General features: G+C 45.6%; 1 protein-coding gene across 4 annotated transcripts in view, besides 2 other annotated features; it reads left to right on the forward strand.

Annotated features, from left to right (window-relative positions):
• SMOC1 (SPARC related modular calcium binding 1) overlaps positions 1-19251 on the forward strand; it is a 152951-nt gene that overhangs the window by 116253 nt on the left and 17447 nt on the right. For all 4 annotated transcript variants that reach the window (NM_001425244.1, NM_001425245.1, NM_001034852.3 and 1 more), the window contains exons 8-10: positions 15086-15278; positions 15817-15899; positions 17718-17823. In NM_001425244.1, coding sequence (NP_001412173.1) covers positions 15086-15278; positions 15817-15899; positions 17718-17823 — 382 coding nt within the window. The remainder of the gene's footprint in view (positions 1-15085; positions 15279-15816; positions 15900-17717; positions 17824-19251) is intronic.
• Positions 13498-13577: an enhancer, noted in NCBI's record as "active region_8650". NCBI's record gives its function as "activates an Ori minimal core promoter by ATAC-STARR-seq in GM12878 lymphoblastoid cells {active_cell/tissue: GM12878}" and the evidence as "EXISTENCE:reporter gene assay evidence [ECO:0000049][PMID:35858748]".
• Positions 14945-16144: an enhancer, noted in NCBI's record as "MED14-independent group 3 enhancer chr14:70477330-70478529 (GRCh37/hg19 assembly coordinates)". NCBI's record gives its function as "activates an origin of replication core promoter dependent on BRD2, BRD4, P300/CBP and CDK7 cofactors, and independent of MED14, by STARR-seq in HCT116 cells {active_cell/tissue: HCT116}" and the evidence as "EXISTENCE:reporter gene assay evidence [ECO:0000049][PMID:35650434]".

Consider the following 19251-nt stretch of genomic DNA (forward strand, 5'->3'; position numbering starts at 1 on the left):
TCAAAGGACTATGGTTAAAAGTTAACTAAGATAATGTCTATATGGCACTCAACTGATGCCTGGCTAACTGATAAATTGTAAGTACATATATTTATTATTATCATTATTATTGGTATGAATAACGGGAATAGTAATGATGGTGCTTATTTTGAAAATTCTTCAATCAGAAAGAATTTATGATTGTCACCTTAAGCAAAGGCATCTATTAGGCTTCTTCTTAGGACCCCCTCTATTCCCCTTTCCCTGTTAGGCAAATATAAATCAAATAGAAGTGGTTTTGGTGCCTGTAGTACCTGGTGCCGGAAGTAACATTTGCAACTGGTCTCCTAGTCCCTGAGGCCCTGGAAGGTCTGCAAGACCCCCATGAGTTAATTCTCATTCTGTGACCAAGTGGAAGATACGAAGGTGAGCTCTGAATTATAACATACAGCACTTTTTTGGCTGAAACACTCACTTGGCCCTTAACAATTGTTTCCTTGAATTTCTTTTTCACTTACCCATGCATTTGATTGCTTTGGGGAACGATGGAGGAGAAAAGATCATCATCATCATCATCAAAATTAGAATAGCACTGTCATAATAGCTACTTTGTTATCAGGTCCTGTGGAACTTTACATTTGTGTCATCTCACTTGAGCTTCCCCATAACCCTATGAGATAGCTATTGTTCTTGTCTCCATCTTGCAGATGAAGAGTCAGAGGCTGAGACAGAGGAAGTAACTTGTCCTGAGTCATAGCTAGGGAGTGGTTGGGCTGGAGAAAACTAGTTATCCTTGGGAATAGAATGCCTGTCTTCTTGGGCTGTATTCTCTGCATGTAGTAAAGTGGTGAGGTCAAAGTCAGTTGATAATCTTTGCTTCCGCTGAAGTTCTTCTGCTTTCATTCCTACTCTCCAATTAGATGAGAATAGGGTCATGTTGAGAAATGGATTCTGGGCAGGTCCATCCACTTTCCTTTTGTTGGGGTGGCCTGGCCACGTTTATTTTTCTCTGGCTGACCCCAGTTATATCTGTAAGGTTCGTGTATATGACAGGATAGTTGGGAGAGACCTAACAGTTCTCTGGGAGAAACTGAGACCAGGGCTAACTGTTAGAGATTGATAACTTAGGAATCTCCTACTCAACTGAGACTTTTTCCATCTTGATCAACTGGTAATATTGACTGAATGCCTATCAATCTCTTTGATATAATTATGTATAAAATATATGGTGCCACAAAGGCCTGTAACAGGGGTTGTCAAATGGTCTCTTGCCTTCTTTTGAAAATAAAGTTGGGTTGGATCACAGCCACAGCCATATATTTGTGTAGTGTCTGTGACCATTTTCATCTAAATAGTAGAGTGGAATAGTTGTGACAGACCCTGTATGGCCTGCAAAGCCTAAAATATTTATTATCTGACCCTTTACAGAAAAGCTTTCTGGCTTCTGGCATATATGATTGAAATAGAAGCATTTGGATGGGAGTGTGTGTATGGGGATGTCTTACTTAAGTTTTCTGGCCCCTCTCATAGTCCAGGCAGGAGGATGCTCCCTGACATGCCCAGGTAAGCCTGCATCAGCACAGGAGCTCTGAGGCAGCTCACAAGGCTCTTCACCATCTCACACATACCTTTTCCAAGCTTTAATGTCCGGTTCTGGTGCATGCTCCCACAAACGGGTTGCCAAAAAAGCATCTTGATGTTTGGCTTTCTTAGGTAGTGGATAGGGAGTCTTTTGCATGTAGCGGAGATAAACCATGTAATGGCAAAAGCATGGGCTTTGGTGTCAGACAAACCTATAACCTGGTTTCCAATGCTAGCTTCCTACTGAGAGGTTTGGTGAGCTTGGGAAAGTTAATTAACTTCCCTGAGTCTTGATTTCCTTATATGTAAAACAAAGTTTTAGTGCCTTGCAGGATTTCTTTGTGAGGACTCAAGAGCATCTGTGTAATGCCTGGCACATAGTAGGTATACCATAAATGATTTTTTAAACCCAACAAAACACTGGTGACTCTTGGTGGAATATCTTTATGTCTTTTGCTAGCCACTTGTCACATGTTATCATATTTGGTTTAATGAGAAGTCAGATATACCTTAATGATAACTTATGTCTGGATATTTGGCTCTGGTAGGGACTGGAGCCTTTTGGCCAAACACCTGAGACAGTTTTTCATTAGAGTTTGATGGATGATCCTGGGTTCAGGTGTGCTTCAGCCTGCATCCCCGGGGAGGTTGCCATGGGACTCCGTGAAGCCCATCGGGGTGAGAGCTCTTCTTCTCAGCTGTCTCTCAGAGGCAAAAAGGCTATCCCAGTTTCTTTTACACCCCACACATCCTTTTTTCACACTCAGACCCTGTGACGCCAGGTTTGTTTTCTGGCCTGGGGATTGTTGATGTTGGAAAGGTTCCACTGGGCAGCTGAAGTTTTGCAATAACATGACACATATGCCTACAGACTCTCCTAGTCTCCCTCTCTGCTCCTGGAAGTTTTGGCCCTTGTTTTTAAGGCTTTGTCATGTGTTCACTATAGTCAGTGTCGCCTTTTGAGTAATTGGCAGGTTCAGCATTGACAGATTTGCTTCTTTGCTCTTCTCTTCAGTTCTCGCCTCCATTGAACCTCTCCTCCATTGCATCTCCAGTGCACCAGGAATTCCTTTTGCATTCAGGAAGACAATGTACCTGGCCAGCTAATACGCTAGAACTTGAGAACAGCATCTTCCCATAGATGAGTGTTGGATGGAGCCTCTGTTCTGCTTTTATAAGGAAATATGAACTCTTGCTAAGTTTTTTTTTTTTTTAAATCAGGGGTTGGCTACCAAGGCATTTCTTAATATACCTAGTGTTTAAAATATTTTTTAACCATCTATATGTTACAGAAGATAAAGATATGAAATAAGTGACAAGAATTAGGTTTCATCTAATTCTTCACCTCATCTTCTCATGTTTCTAATTTGACTATGTGCAGGCACTTTCCTATGGCTCTGATTTACATCTTTGTTTCTATATGACGAACTTCCACCCTTTCTCTTCTGGGCAAGTATAATCTCTCAGGAAATATCTTCATGCACTTCTCTGTGCAGCAAAGTAATGCTCCCAAGGCCCACCACTCATTTCCTTCTGCCCTGGGGGCTTGACTCTGTGGCCTCAAGTGGAGTAGAGAGGTGTGACTTCCCTCTTTGTTTTGTCATCTCTTTCTTTCCTTTGTCCCTGTTTTTTTCCAGTTAACTTCTTCCATGATCTGATCAAGGGCCTCAAGGAGGCCCTAGACCCTGGCCCTGTGAGTTAAATCTGAAAGGGCCATGCCTTTCCTCCCTTGCCTCTTAGACCCACAGCGCTCCCTTCTCTACATCATTGAATGGAGCAGCTCATGGTGACTCTGCTCCCTGGAGATACAGCCATCAGCACAGACATAAGGTGGAAATGCATTTCTTTTAAGTTTTACCATGAAAGTGACACCCTGGCCTCCTCGTGCATGACTGTGACTGTGTTTTCTCATGTCACCTTACCTGTCACAGGTAAGCTGTTCACAGTATCAGAGTGCTGCTCTTCTAGGCCTGCTTCAGGCCATTTGGCCACGTCTTGGATTGCTTCTTCCTCACCCAGGAAGTTCCTGCTGGGATAGCTGCTATGACTGGGACTTGGGGTCACTGAGGCAACTGCACCTCCTGGCTGGATTCCCCACCCCCCAAGCCAGCACTCTTGGCCCGCCTAGAAACCACCGGCTGATGTAATGACTTGAGGCCTGGAAAAATAAACAGCTCGCAGGGAAACCAGCGGTAGCCGTCGTAAGCAAATACCCCATGGCCACCTGGAATCTCGCACATGACGTGATTGGGAGGAAGAATGAGTAATCCACTAACGTTAGCAGCCGAGGATGGGTCTGGGCTTGTGTGCATTTAAAATATCTATATAAAAATACACCCTGGATATTTATTTCCATAACTGGCCTTCTGGATGTCTGCCCATCTCTCTGATGCAGGTGCCTTGGTCAATCATGGCCAGTAGAATTGAGCTGGGGATGGGGGATGGGTGGTCATCCCTATGGCTTTCTCCATGGCAACAAAGGCCTTTTTCTTTCTTAAAATTTCCCTTTGCGGAGAGAAGCAATAAACACACTTGGAGGCCCCATGAAGCCTAGCCGCACAGTCCATTTTTACCTTGTTTTAAAATTAGCTTTCCTGGTCGCCTTGCTCCTTTGCCCCATGTTGTCTGCTTGGAACACAAAGGTGTGGGAGGGTGGAGGGATGTGCTGCAGGACACAGCACTGGGATGACGTGCTGCACCAGCAAGGGTTCTGTTTCTGTTTCTGGAGGTGAGTGTGTCTGCTTTTTAATGTTAGATAGCAAAACTACGTGCCCTGGTATTTTCCTTTTGGCCTCTGCTGCTAAGACACTGAAATTGAAGATCTTGCCCAGGTATTGTCATTGGCTCATTCCAATTTTCTGGAAGTCAACTACAGTCTCTGCTTAGATCTGAGCATCCTTGTTCTGTGTTTATTTGTAAAGTGGCTTTGGAAGTAGACGGGGTCTACATCTCATAAACACACTCACACAGGCAACACTCATGTTTTGGGGAGTAAAGAGTGAAGTTGTGATACTTTATTTTGATAAATTTAAATAGCTTTTCCATCTTCCACCTTTGTCTGTGCCTTCTCCTCCCTTTCTGTCTAAATTTTTATTTGCTAGAACTTGCTCTTAAAAGTACGGAGACTGTCAGTTTAAGGCCAATGAAAGTACAGAGACTGTCAGGTTAAAGCCAATGAAGTTACTGAGAAAAACTAGAAAAAAGGCAGCTTGCTATTTCTCAGTACTTGTCATTGCAAAGATACTGTGAAGTATTTCATATTCTTTTTGGTGGAAGGGTCATATCTGCTCACTTAATGCCATGAGTCAATAGAGATGGGAACTTTTCTAAAATTTGAGCGGGTGCGAGTCAGTGATGCCTTGGGGGAAAAGTTAAAAAGAAAAATGCCTCCATGCTATATTGGGACAATCCATCCTGGAAGAAATATCCTCTGTAGAATTTCGATCTTGTTCTTCCCTGCCCTGTAGGAACTCAGTCTCTGCGTGGGAAGGAAGCGGTCACCACTTCAGACCATGGTGAGCCATGCATGACCATTTTGGGTTACACAGAGAGAAACTATTTAGACAGGCTGGTTGGTTTGTAATTTTCCCTTACACCTCCTCACCCATGACACTTCATCCCAGCAGCATGCCCTACTTACAGTGCCAACTGTAAACATCCCTGTGAGGAGGTGGCCTCGGCCAACGTCAGGGATATGGGGTGGACGGTGTTACTTTTGTGCTGAAGATGGGATCTCCGAGACATAGCAGGTTAGGTGTGGCTCACAGGCCACATAGCAGGGCTGTGGAAAGAGGTATGAGGTACGAGGGAGAACCTGAGAGCACCGAGCAGCCTTCCCCTTAACCCAGCCCCTTCCTGGTGCTCTGTTCCACTGGGACTTGGGAAGCTAAGTTTGGATCTGGCCCCTGAGTCACTGGGAAGTGCACCTGATTTTGTTTAATTGTAAGACTGTGGGCCGTTAGAGTGAGAAGGGCCTGAGAGTCATCTAGCATTGCCGCTTAGTTTTAAATGAGAAAACAGGAGCCCAGACTTGCTAAGGGCCTTGTCCAAGGTCATAGATCCATCAAGAACTATCATGTGCTAAGGCCTCTGTTTGCCACTGAGGGGTCAAAGGATGAAATACAAGGAACATTTAAGGCAGGAGCTGACCACTGGGCAGTGGTGCACCAAAGGGATGGGGGGTGATGGTGTGGTCCATACCAGTGGGGAGGAGTATTTTATCACTGACATTGTTTTGAATTGCTGGCATAGTGATTATAAAAAGCAGATAGACTCTTAGCTATATGTGCATATTTTTTTTAGTTTACCTACAGACCTAATACCCCTTTATTGCCTGCCTCTGGAGCATACTGCTCCATTCCCCTGCCCTTGGTCAGCTACTGGAGTCCTGTTGAGGAGACGGGTCATTCACAGGGATAGGGCAGGAAGACCATGTTTGCTCCACAATGCTACCTTAGACAAGCTAATAGGAATAGTAGCTACCATTTAGCAACTTACTGTGCCACCAGGTTTAATGTTTTTCACACACGATTGCATTTAATCTTCACAATGACCCTGTGAGGCATGTGCAAGAGTTACCTTACTTTTACACGTAAGGAACCTGAACTGGCCAAGGTCACAGAGAAAACAAGGGGTAGAGCCTGAATCATTGACCACAAAGCCCATGCTCTTGACTGCCTATATTGCCTCTATTCCAACTGTTGCTGACTTCAGAACCTCCTAACATGCCAGACCCTTCGATAGGAGTATGCAGGAGGAGTGATAGGCACTTACTACTGCTTTTAGCCTTGCCAAGGAAGCCCTAGTATTCCCTCATCCCCTACCTCTAGTTCCCTCTGACCGCCCTGAGTTCTCTCTGGCAGTTGAGCTTTTAGACCATCCTCACATCTCCATCTGGGCTGGAGCTGGAGACAGTTCTTCTCTTGGCCAGTGAGTTAATTAGAAAGGTGCTCCCTCCAGGGGGTCCTCCCGGGTCCCTTTGTAGGTTACAATTGAGGGATGATGTTAGATTTTTGCTTTCTTTTGCTGCCTATTCTGTGGGGGAAAGGGCTTTTTAGCTTAAAGGGGATGGAAAAACCCATGCCAACAGAAGTGTGACTTTAATTCGTGCAAATTCTGTTTCTATTCTCCCCATACCCTCCCTCTACCTGATACAAACCTGAGCACAATTTCGGTGGCTGACTTTGTTCTGTTTGCCAGCGATGTTTGCTTTTTCCTTGCCCTGGTAGAGCCTTTCCTTTTCTGGGCCAGTTGTCTACCCTCTATTTGGAAAGGAGCCCTGAGCAATGGTTCTGTGGGCTCTCCCCCTCATCAGGGGCTCCCAGAGCCCCTGCATAACTCTGAGTCACATAGATGTTGAGAAATTGGGAATTGGGAATTGGCGATGGCCAAGTGGCACTGAGTGGTGTGCGTGATGGAAAGCCATGGTAGCAGGGCAGAGTCGGCCCAGCAAATGGTGCTTGGAAAAATGATCCTCTGGGGGCCACTTAGCCCCTCCTGTGAAAAAGTGCAAAGTCCACAAGTAAGAAAAATAACCTGTTCACATAGTTGGCTTGAAACCATAGGTGCTAAAACCCCCTGTGGCTAAATAAACAGCAAGGGCCTGCTCAGTGATGTCCCATAAATCATGGAGTGCAGCAACCCTTCCCTGGGGCACCACATCTAGTCCCTGTGCTAATCCTTCTGAAACAGCAAAGTCAGTTCCTTACAACCTGGTCCTATCTTTCTCTCTTTTACTCCTGCAGTGCCTTCCTCTGCCAAATTCTCAGCCACCCTACAGTTCTGGAACACTCCCGACACCACACTCTCACATGCTCGCACGCTGACCTAGAGAATCCTGAGGCTGGAGCCATGTGGTTTCTTATGCCTCTGGAATTTCATGTTGTAATTTAGAAAGGTTGTTTTCAACACACAGTTTGATATTTTGGGTTATCTTTCAGCATTTCATTCATTTTTGATAAGAGACTAGGTGGGTGTGAAGTATTTGATGGGGTTTCAGGGTCACTGTAGGTGATACAATGCTAATTTTTTCTTTAATATTCTTGGCTCAGTGGGACAACTCCTTTTGCAATGAAACCCAAGTAAGTGCCTCTCATTTTTCAGTCTGGGTAACATTTTAATTGATTTTTCCCCCAAGAAAATCCAGTGCTTGATGGTCTGAGGGTTGAGTGTAGCATTTCCCAGGATGTGTCAAAGGGATAGATATTCTTTTTGCAGCCTCTGTGGTCTCATCCCTACGGTTTATTCAACAGTGGGCAGCCCCATCTCTGAAGTGTCAGACTAGAATTCTGTGAGAGGGGTGACATAATGGGGACTCAAGCAATAGAAGGGTTCTTGGACCAAGTACCCTTTATGAATCTTTTACACCAGAGATTCCATGGCTCTCCTATGGCCACCAGAGACGGGTGTGGTGAAGGCTCAGGAAGGATGTGCAGAGCCCTAGTTTCCAGGAACTTGCATCCAGTGAAGTCAGGGTACCGAGGACAAGGGGCCCACGAGGGCAGATCCTCCACTGCTTCTAGCCTTGTTCCAGGCAGGGCCTCAGGGAAAGCTTCAGGGATGGAGGATGGCCTAGAATGAGGGTAGGCAAAGATCTCATGGTTTATTCTTTCTGCTTGCTACATCTTAGAGGATTTTTCTGGCCTCTCCAGCACCTGACATGATGCCAGCACCCAGTACATATACAACCAGTAATATCCTGGGTGATAACCTGGGTCTACAAGGTCCCAGTCCTTTTTTGTGTCCTCTTCCTGGGCCCTAATCTCATTTTCTACTCAGGATCCTGCTTTAGGTCCTCCTCTCTCAGGACCATGTCAGCTTACTTTTTCTGTAGTGTAAGGAACTCCCTGTCTGGATGGCCAGAGTAGGCACCTTGGTTACCAAACGAGCCTCCACTGGGAGAGCTTCTGATTCTTTCTCCAGGAAGACTGCATCATTCATCAAGGCATCTTCCCAGTCCATGTTTTCATGGCTTGTGGCTCTTCTTCAGTTCTTCCGCGTATGGTTCTCTGTAAGATTAGCCTTTTTTCTTGCACTTATTTTTCAGATGGACTTTACGATGCTTCATATTATAGGTCAATTTGGCTAGGCCATCCTGCCCAGTTGTTTGGCCAAACACTCATCTAGATATTGGTGTGAAGGTATTTTGTGGATGTGGTCAACATTTACAGTCAATTGACTTCAGATAAAACAGGTTGCCCTTCATAATGTGGGTGGGTCCCATCCAATCAGTGGAAGGGCTTAAGAGCAAAGACTGAGGTTTCCCCAAAAAGAAGGAATTCCCTCTCCAGACTGTAACATGGAAATCCTTCTTGAGTTTCCAGTCTGCTGACCTGACCTATTGATATTGGACTCAAGACTGCCCCATCACTCTTACCTGAATTTCTAGCCTATTGGCCTGCCCAACATATTTTAGATTTGCCAGCCCCTATAATTACATAGCCAATTCCTTAAAATATCACTCTCTCTCTCTCTCTTTATGTATATGTGTGTGTATCTATAATCTGTAGATATCTAGCACTTGTCCCTGTGCTAGCCCTTCCAAAACAAATAGATATAAAGATACATACACACATACATATACGCCTGTCTCTGTCTTCTGTTGGTTCTCTTTCTCTGCAGAACCCTGAGTGACACAGACCTTCTCTGTCTACTGTCTGCTCTCTCCACCCGTCTCCCCCTTTGACCTCCACTTCCTCCATCACCATGAGGTTCCCATGTTCTTTCTCCAAAAAGCTTACAGCATAGCTGGTCTACCAATAACTGCTGACTGCATGTGCAGAAGGTGCTTTGGTGTTGGGTTACCCAGGATCTCAGCTTTTCTGTCTGCTCCTTTCTTCAGCAGTTCCTCCTCTGGAAGGCAGTGTCTAGAAAGAAAGGCCAGCCCAAAGATCTGAAACTCAAATCTTGTAATGTTTATGTTTTTTGGCCATTTTTGCTTTAAACAAAAAAAGAAGAGAAAGGAAAAAGATGATGAAGAAGAAAAGGTTTCTGGGATAAAAGACTAAACTCTGGGCTAAAATCAAGTCTGGGGATTAGCTGAGGATTTAGGTTATCCATGCTTTCCTTTGTTCCTAATCACCATGAGTAATTGAGAGGCACAGAGGCCTGGGCTAGTCCTAGCCGACAGAGCTGTGCTCCAGGCTTATCCTCTCTTGGTGGGATGTGAAAGAACCCGTGCCCTGGGCCTGGAGACAGGGTTCATGTTTGTCTGGTCCAACCTCTTTTTTCCTCTCCTGTCTCCTGCCCTGCCCACTCCTGCTGGACTTTGGTCCTTCTTTGCTATGTGCAATTAGTGGTGGACAGGGTTGTGTGCCTTCTGGTGACAAGGGGTGGACATGGTTTCACTTCTATCTGAGTATTTACCATGTGCCAGACTAGGTACTGGACAGTTTGCTTGGATGTTTTTTCTATTGTGTTTCTTCTCTTAGGCAGTCAGAGGTTTGTCAGTGAAACTTTAACCACTCATTGCCAAGTGCGGAATGACCTGACTCTCACTTCTTCTCTGCACCATCTGAGGGACAGGATTATAGGGGCGGGCGTGTGAGTGTGTATGTGTGGCCATGCATTTCCATGCCCCCCTGGACAGCCCTGATTGTTCCCTCTCCCCTTCCGTTTATGGCTTCCAGGTGTTTACAGATGGTCCTGGCCCATTCTCATAGATACCTGGCCAGACCTTCTAATCTTGTCATCTTTCCCTGAGTGTTCCTGAGCACAGATTATTTTAGAATAGTGTGTGTTCACTTCTGGGGAGCTCCCTCTCTGAACCCATGATCATGAAGAGACCCACAAAATAGGCCCCCTGTCTTGCATTCTGGAAGGGGACTTCTTGGTACCTAAGAAAACTGATAGATGTGAATTTTAAGACCCATTTGGGATTTAGGTAACTGAGAAGGAAAGAGGATGATAGTGGCCCCATGGGTGGTCTGGCTTTTTGGGTCCGCCACTTCCTAGTTCTGTGATCTTGATCCAATGACTCTGCCAGTCTGTGTTTCTGCACCTTCTTCTATTCAGTGAGGATAAGAAGAACACTATTTTAGAGGCTTGTTTGAGTTTGAAGTGAGTTAATACAAGCAAACTGCCCAGTACCAAGTCTGGCACATGGTAAATACTCAAATAAATGTTAGCTATTGTTATTCATTTTAGAGTTCTGCAATGGTGGATGAGTTACAAATTTGGGTCCTCAGATATGGAATAAGCTTATGCCCTGTGGTACTTACTGATTAGCATATGCATGACCCATAACCTCTAGAGAAGCCCTTCAAGAATAATTGATTGGTTGACTGAAGGGCTTACAGGGCTACAAAAATACGTACAGGGTAAATTGATGAATAGTTAAGGAGGTCTAGATGTTTCAGTTATCTGCTGCTGTGTAACAGACTGCTCCGAAATGTACTGGCTTACCATAAAAATAATTAATTCTTTCTAATGTGTCTGTGGGTTGGCCGGATACTTGTTTTGCCTGAATTTAATCCTGGACTCATCCAGGTAGGGGAGGATCAGCTGGGCTGGAATGTACAAGGTGACCTCCCTCTCACATCTGCAGTTGGTACTCGCTGTGACCTGAGCTGCTCCCCTTTCCTCACTGTGGCCTCTTGTTCTCCAGTAGGCGAGACCAGCTTCCTTGTGATGATCTTAGGGCAGCTTCCACAAAAGTGAAAGCGAGAGCTGCAAGTCCTCTTGAGGCCTCGGCCTGACACAAAACATCAGCATTGCCTCTAACATTCTATTGGCCAAAGCAAACCAGAGTCCACGTGGAGGGGTCCACACAAGGCCATGATCACGGGGAGGCACAGTTCATTGGGGACTGTTTTGTAATGAGATGACCTATAGTGAGTAAAAGAAAAATATAGGTTAGGATAAAAATCAGATTAGCCTGTGGCAAGAAGATGATCTTGCAGAGGTGAAGCACCCAGCCAGTGCTGAAATGTCAGCTCTGCCACTTCCTAGTTCTATGATCATCCAATTTCTCAACCAGTCTGTGTTTCTGCATCCTTTTCTGTTCAATGAGGATAACAACACTGCCCTTAAAGGCTTGTAATGAGTTTGAAGTGAGTTAATACACATAGTGCACCTAATTCCAAGTCTGGCCCATGGTAAATACTCAAATAGATGTTAGCTATTGTTATTCATTTTAGAGTTCTGCAATGGTGGATGAGTTAAATTTGGTTTTAAGTTTTCCGCTTCTGAGGCAAAGAGAGAAAAATATCCAGGTACAAGATTTGTAGCGTGCTTAGGTCGAGAAGACATCATTGGTCAGAAGGAGCTGTGCTGTGTCCAGCACATTTGATTTTGAATGCAGCAGATTTGGGATAGTCTGCAAAGACACTGACATAGAAGAGCTCACTGTAAAAATAAATTTATTTGTCTCCTAGAGCAAATGGTTAGAGGCAACACTGTCTAGAGGTTAGCAAGTCAAGCCTGACTGTCAGGATCCCCAGCCTTTCTCTCTCCTGGCTGAGTGAACTTGGGAAAATCCATTAATCTCTCCAACGTTCAGCTTCCTTGTCTACAAAATGGGCGTAATAATAGTGCCTACCTCACATGGGCAAAGGGATTCATTAGGTAAAGCCCTTAGTCTATTGCCTGGCACATATCACTCAATGAATGTTTGTTTTTCTTGTTATTAGTTGTAAAGATGATTTTAAGGGAGATTTTCTCTTTGCTGTAAGACAAACTCTCTGTGTACTCTTCACAGAGGGTTAGTGCTATTATGATAAATCACTCCTGTCTCTTTCTTAGAGGCACCTGGACTTGCAGATACTGTAATGAAGTAGTAAATCAATAATAAAAATAATAAAATAAAAAAGTAATAAACCTTGCAGTCAGGCTTTTAAAAAATTCTTTTGCTATCCCCCATTTTTCCAAATTAGTGAGCTTTATCATTTTTATTATTTTATTTTATTTTATTTTATTTTATTGAGACAGGTTCTTACTCTGTGGGCCAGGCTGTAGTGCAGTGGCGTGATCATGGCTCACTGCAGCCTCAACCTCCTGGACTCAGGTGGCCCTCTCACCTCAGCCTCCTGGGTAACTGGGACTACAGGCATGTGCTATCACACTGGCTACTTTTTGTATTTATTTATTTATTTTTGTAAAGACATAGTCTTGCTATGTTACCCAGGCTGGTCTCAAACTCCTGGGGTAAGCAATCTGCCTGCCTCAGCCTTTCCAAATGCTGGGATTATAGGCATGAGCCACTGAGCCTGGCATTTTAATGATTTTATTCTCCATGGAACTTCATAGACACTGACTATAAACAGCTCAGAACAGCCTTCAAGGACTTCCAGAAATCCATCAACAGGGCCCAAGCCACGAGTCTGTGCCTCTTCTTAGATGGCTTCTGTCCACATTTCTGAGGGTCTCGGGACCCCCAGTGGTGTGAAGTCAGGTTCATTATTTGCTCTGCCCCTGGGGAAGCGCCCCCCTTCTCTCTTTGCCTCTTGCTTTCGGTCTGATTTATGGCTTTAGAAGGTTGGCCTGGAGAGTCTTAATTTAAATCCTCTGTCAGAGGTTGTTACATGAACGTGGTGTCAGTAAAAAGCTGTTTTCCTTTGGTTTTGCTCCTCTATTGCCTCTTTCATGGCATGAAATACGAGGTAGGAAAATAAGGCTACCAAATTGGGGTTGGGGGAGCTATTGAAAAATTCTTGCATAATCCCCTTGAAGTTGCCATGGCACCTTCCCAGCCAGGGGCTGAAGTCAAAATGCTGGATCTTTAAAGCAGGTTTCCCAAGGCCCCTCTCCCTGCTCAGTTTCTGTCTCTTTCCTGTCTCTAGATGCTGTTCTGGTGGTAGTCACAGTTGGAGGCAAAACCCAAGTCTGATGTCTGTCAGCTGTTTTAAACTCCTCTTCCTCTAGCCAAGGAGACTCTGTTTAGCTTTTCTATATTTGCATTATGAAAACAGTAGTTTTTTTTCACTTCCCAAATTCAAAACAACATTTTCTATTTTAATAGTGAATATGCTATATGTGCCTGCCTCCTGGCCCTCAGATATTTTTATGCCCCTAAGGAAATATTTTTACCCTGCAATGAGAATCACCAGGCTATTGTTTTCGAGCATTTTCCTAGCAGTGAGACATAGCATTGTTTTTCTATCATCTGACTTATCTGTAAAACTGCATTGAGCTACTTTGTGTCTCTGTGTACTCCTATGGTTTGTTTAAACATGCGTGCTTTACCTATATGTGTGTCATTAACAGAGCCATTATTTCAAGGAAGTTGGCTTCTTTAAAGTGGAGTTGAGTGCTGTTGTTCAGTGCACAACATGGTTCTCCAGGTTGCTGATACCAAGTTCCTTGCTCTTAAGAAGGGTATTTTTGTAACAATCTGTAAACATTCAGTGGGTGCCCAAGACTACATTCCTGTCAATTTCTTCAAGAGAAGAGTTGTAGAATAGTGGTATGAAAAAAATATAGTAGGTAAATAAACAAGTAAATGAAAAATAAAGTAATAGTACAGGTTTATGATGTGATTCTTTTGTTATCAAAAAAGTAGATGTGTGCACGTGTATTTCCATGTATGTATGTACATAAAATCTAGGGAAGGTACAGTGTTTAACTTTGGCAGGATTATAGGTTTTTCCACTTTCTTTTTTAAAACTTCTTTATAATAAGAAACCCAACACTATTTATTTTTAATAATTAGAACAAAAACAAAACCAGAAAAAAAAAGACAAAGAGCAAAGCCAGGCAGGCTAAGTGGTTGATTGGGAAGAATTTTCAGGTAAGTGGCTGTGCAGATGTGAGATGCCCTGGAGCTGGCCATGCTGGACACAGGGCACCACGCTCTGTCTCAGCCGGGGACTGGCTCGGGGGAAACCAGGTTGGGCTGTTCAGACATGCTCATGTGTTACTGAGGCTGCTGAGTGCAGACACCATCCGGCTGGGCCTGTTTTCTCTCCAATTGGATGGAAGCAGCATTGTGTAATTCACTGAAATTCACTCGGCCTACTTTGTCCAGCAGCCTTGGAGGGTGGGGAGAAGCCAAGGCTGGACCTTGTTTCTGCTCCTCCTGGGTGCCGAGCATCACTCCACATGAGGCTGATGGCCACGGCTCCATCATGCTGTGTCTGGGCGTGGAAGGGTCTACATGCACAAGCATTCCTGCATCAGCCTGCAGCATAGCCAGGCTCCTGCACCCACCTCTCCTGCAGTCCACAGACAGAACATCAGCAGGAGCCACTCTGAAAACATTGAGATATTCCACCCTTGGGACAAGCTGCCACTCTGAGAAGGGGCATCCCTGGAGTCCCTGGCTGGCTTGTTGCTGCAGTTGAACCTATTTGGTGGGAATGCTAATGAATGCTGGCAGCAGAGATGGCCACAGGGAGGTTCTGAACCTCCAGGCCCCTCAGCATGCGCTGGCATGGGAGACAGCTCTCTGTGGTAATTCATCAATGGGGCAGCTCATCAGTTCCTGGGTCCAGGCCTGGTCCTTGCTACTTACTTTGGATGCTGGGCACAGAAGACAGGAGTGTTAAATCACAGGAGTGATAGTCACCACAGGCTGTGTCTTCTCTTGCAGAGAAAGTCTATTCGTGTGACCAGGAGAGGCAGAGTGCCCTGGAAGAGGCCCAGCAGAATCCCCGTGAGGGTATTGTCATCCCTGAATGTGCCCCTGGGGGACTCTATAAGCCAGTGCAATGCCACCAGTCCACTGGCTACTGCTGGTGTGTGCTGGTGGACACAGGGCGCCCGCTGCCTGGGACCTCCACACGGTAAGCCCCCCAGACTGGGTCCTGGGAAAAACGCACCTGCTGGCTGTTATCCATGCTGGCATCTCCCAGTGTTCCTGCCCTGGTCTGGTGGGAGATGAGTGCCTGGGAGAGCCATGTTTTCAATGAGTAGAAGAGTTTCAGGTAGAAAGACCCTGGGACCTGGATTCTGGTCACAGGCCTGTCTCTTTCTAACTTAAGACCTTGGAACAGTACTTAACCTCTCTGAACGTCAGTTTCCTGATGAGATTATTGCCCTTTCTAAGCCACTAGCTTCCATGGATCAAAAAAGATACTGCGTGCAGCTCAAGTATCATTGTTATTATGCTTGAGTGGTTGAAATGACATGCCTGAACATGTCTCAGTGGGAACATTGATGCTAAGATTGCCTTGTAGCTGCCGGGCAGCGCAAGAGATATCGTTCTGCCCACCCTCAGTGCTTTAGGCTTGGTGACAACATAGATCATTGCTGGGCAGTAGTGACTGAAGTAGGCTCAGTTGCCAGCCCCTCCCAACCCCCCCCATATCTCTCTTTTCCCAGCTACGTGATGCCCAGTTGTGAGAGCGACGCCAGGGCCAAGACTACAGAGGCGGATGACCCCTTCAAGGACAGGGAGCTACCAGGTGGGAGACGATGCTGCCCTGCCGGCGCCATCACCTCCTTCTGTTCCTCCACCCTCTCATTATGCAGAAGAAGCTGTCTCCTCTTTGTCTGTTTCCCCATGTGTAAGATGGAGCCAGGAGCCGTGGGATCTACATCCTGGTCTGGGATTTATCCCTAATTAGCTCTGCTCTTGTGCACATTGCTTCTCTTCCTTGTGCCTCTTCGTCTTTATAATGCAGTCATCGGGTTAAAATCCCGTCTGCAGTTCCACAATGCGTTGTCCATCTGAGGTCCATGAGGACAATGTTTTGAGCACTGTGAGTTATTTTTTCCAGAGCTGTGAGGATAAGATAGCTTATAGGGAGGGGCTGTCCTGAGCGATGTGGACAGTGTCTGTTGCTTGCTCTGAAGAGGCAGATGACCCCTGGTGACACAGGACGACCATGGAGTGTGACACAAGACACATAGGCAGGGCCCTGGTACCTCCAAATGGCTGATGTGCGGGTTTCCCCTTATTTATAGCAATCTCTGCCTGCAAGTTACAGTAACATTACTAAATATTGGTGGCTTGGAATCTTATTGTCTTTACACAGCACAAAGTCAGATTAGTGCTGGTGGGAAATGGGCCACCTTCCCATGACCTATCAGGACTCCAAGTGAGAACTGAAAGCAGAGAGTTCTAAGAGTCAGGGATTTTCCACACGAGGTTTGTAGAAATCACCCCATCACAAGAATGGAGTCATGGTGGCCAGGGTACCCCTTTTAGCTAACCCCTCAACAAATGTGAATTGAGATTCTACTATGTGCCAGGCACTGGGTATAATCTAGTGGTCAAAGTTGACATGAGACTTACAGAGTGGAGGAGACAGATTGGATATGAATAAATGAATACAGGCATTTATAGATAGTTGTGGTGGGTACTCTGAGGGAAAAGCGGAACATGCTGTGAGAATGGCAGGGAGAACCTGCTTTAGATTCCACAGCTTCTCTGAGAAGCAAGTGTTGAACCTGAGACCTGGAGGATTTGGGGACAGAAGAGAATGAGCTAGTTGCTAATTTCTATGTGGAGTTGCTTTGGAGAGGAGCACTGGGAGTAGTGTAGAGGGCCCATTTGGTGCTGGTGATCGTGACTTTATAGGACACCCATTTATCCAGTTGTGTGGTGGTGTTTTCCCCAGCTACGTGGTGTAGACATGGAAAAGGCACATCTATAGAAGGTTCTTCTGTGCTTTACTGTGTTTTCCTGGAATAATACAAGGAGGAAAAAAGGAACAAGGACTTGGGAGTATTTACAAGAGAGATGCTGTAGTTATAATGTAAGATGGTTGAGGAGGGAAGTGAAAAAAGGAGGAGGCTCTTGGATGGATCTGGTGGTAGGTGTACTTAAGTCAACTTTGACCACTGGGGGTTCTCTCCCTCCTTTGTGCTCCCACAGCCCCTAGTTCTTACCCCTAGCACAGTATTTTTCTCACTTTAGGACGACTGCTTGGCTATTAGCTTGAGTTCCCCTGTAGATGTGAACTTTACAAGGATAAGGACCTTCTGTATTGTTAACTCTGTATCTCTAGCGTTTAACATGGTGCCTGAGTTGATGTCTAGCAAAAATGTGTGGAATGGAAGAAAATTGAAAGCATTATTTGGTCTGATGGTCCTTTGTGGGGTATGGGTAAAGGAACTATGGAAGTTTATGAGACTCATCTGATCAGTAAACAAATCACTAAAGTGGATTTGGCTGGACAAGAAGGGCTTTGAGAAGTTTAGGAAAGGATGGTAGTTGAGAAAGCTGTTGACTTGATTATTATCTGGCATCTACCTTCAAATCTCATTTTATCTTTTAGGCTGTCCAGAAGGGAAGAAAATGGAGTTTATCACCAGCCTACTGGATGCTCTCACCACTGACATGGTTCAGGCCATTAACTCAGCAGCGCCCACTGGAGGTGGGAGGTGAGATTGTGAGCAGGAATCAGGCCCAGGAGAAAAATGTGGGGCCCCTGACTTTTCAAATGCTGAGGGAGGGTGAGAGAGTGGGCAGGGTTTGAGGAGGGCAAGGGCTGGAAGTTGATCTTTTTCCTGAAACCATGTACCCATAGCTTTGACCCGCCTTCTGTCAAAAATCTTCCTGCCCCTCTACCTTCCCTATTCTTTGGGAGCTGCTTGTCCCTAGCTTTTAGTTACCTGATTTATAGGAAAGTCCAGGGCTGTCTGGGACTTCCAGCTGTTTAATCTCAGAAGGTGATGGGTTGGAGTGAGAGTTCTGAATGGCAGGAAGGGTGATGGTTATATCATGGGAACAGGGAGGCAGAGAGGGAGCACAAAGCACTTTGCAATTTTCTTCTCTCCTAGAAGGCAGGAACCAAATGCCTTTTTGGCATCCTGAGAATTCCAAGGAGCTCTTGGCAATGGAACTGGACACTCATATAGCCAAATACAGCTCAGGTCAGGAATTGAGGTGGTAGCTGAGGCAGTCCTGATGTGAGGCTGAAATGCACATGCTCCCCAGTAACCAGCATTGCTGGCACTCATGAGTTTGGGCCCATTAGGCCAGTCGGTTGGAGATGCATGCACGCATTCATCCATCCGCTTACCACCTTTTGAACATGGAAAACACAGCAAACACTGGGCTAAGGATGAGGTATCTGGGGATAGAGGCATGTCCCACCTTCAAAGGATGCAGCTTAGCGGGGATACTAGACCATAGATAGATACTTACAAAATCTGTGGTGAGTGCTAGGACAGAGGTGGAAGAATGGAGAATGGTTGTCTCACTCAGTCTGGAGGAGTCAGAGCAGGCTTCCTGGAGAAGGTGATATCTGAGCTGAGTTTTAAAGAATGGGTAGGACTTATCTACCTATCAAAGAAAAGATAGGTAGATAAAGAAAAGAGAAAGCCATTCCAGAGAGAAGGAAAGGATACTGTGGCTCCAAGAAAGTGCATGTCTGTGGTTCAGTTAGCTTGGGCTGGGGTGGATAGGCGGAGGAGGAGGAAGCAGAGGAGGTAAGAGTGGTAATCGTGAGATGGAAGAGGTGGGCAGGACTCAGATCCCGAAAGTCCTGTGAGACATGCTGAGTAAGACTTCTGCTCATGCTCATGAAGCCAGAAGGGGAAGCACAGCAGAGACTGTTGGAGACAAGTGTGGTAGTGTCTAGGCTCCTTACAGCAGGAGGGGAGGTACTCTAGGCTTGGCAGGGATGGGCAGCCTGCTCTGAACTTATATGGCTCACTGAGGAGGGAGCGTTAGTCCCCCGGCATCTGCCCAGAGGCAGAGCTGTTATCCATAAGGCAAGGAATGCCACAAAGAGAACAAGCCTAGGCCTTGGAAGGACCCCAGCATAGCTCCCTCAGTGGTGATTGGCAGGACCATGTGGTATGTGT

The sequence above is a fragment of the Homo sapiens genome, chromosome 14, assembly GCF_000001405.40.
Source record: "Homo sapiens chromosome 14, GRCh38.p14 Primary Assembly".
In the NCBI taxonomy this organism is placed as follows: domain Eukaryota; kingdom Metazoa; phylum Chordata; class Mammalia; order Primates; family Hominidae; genus Homo; species Homo sapiens.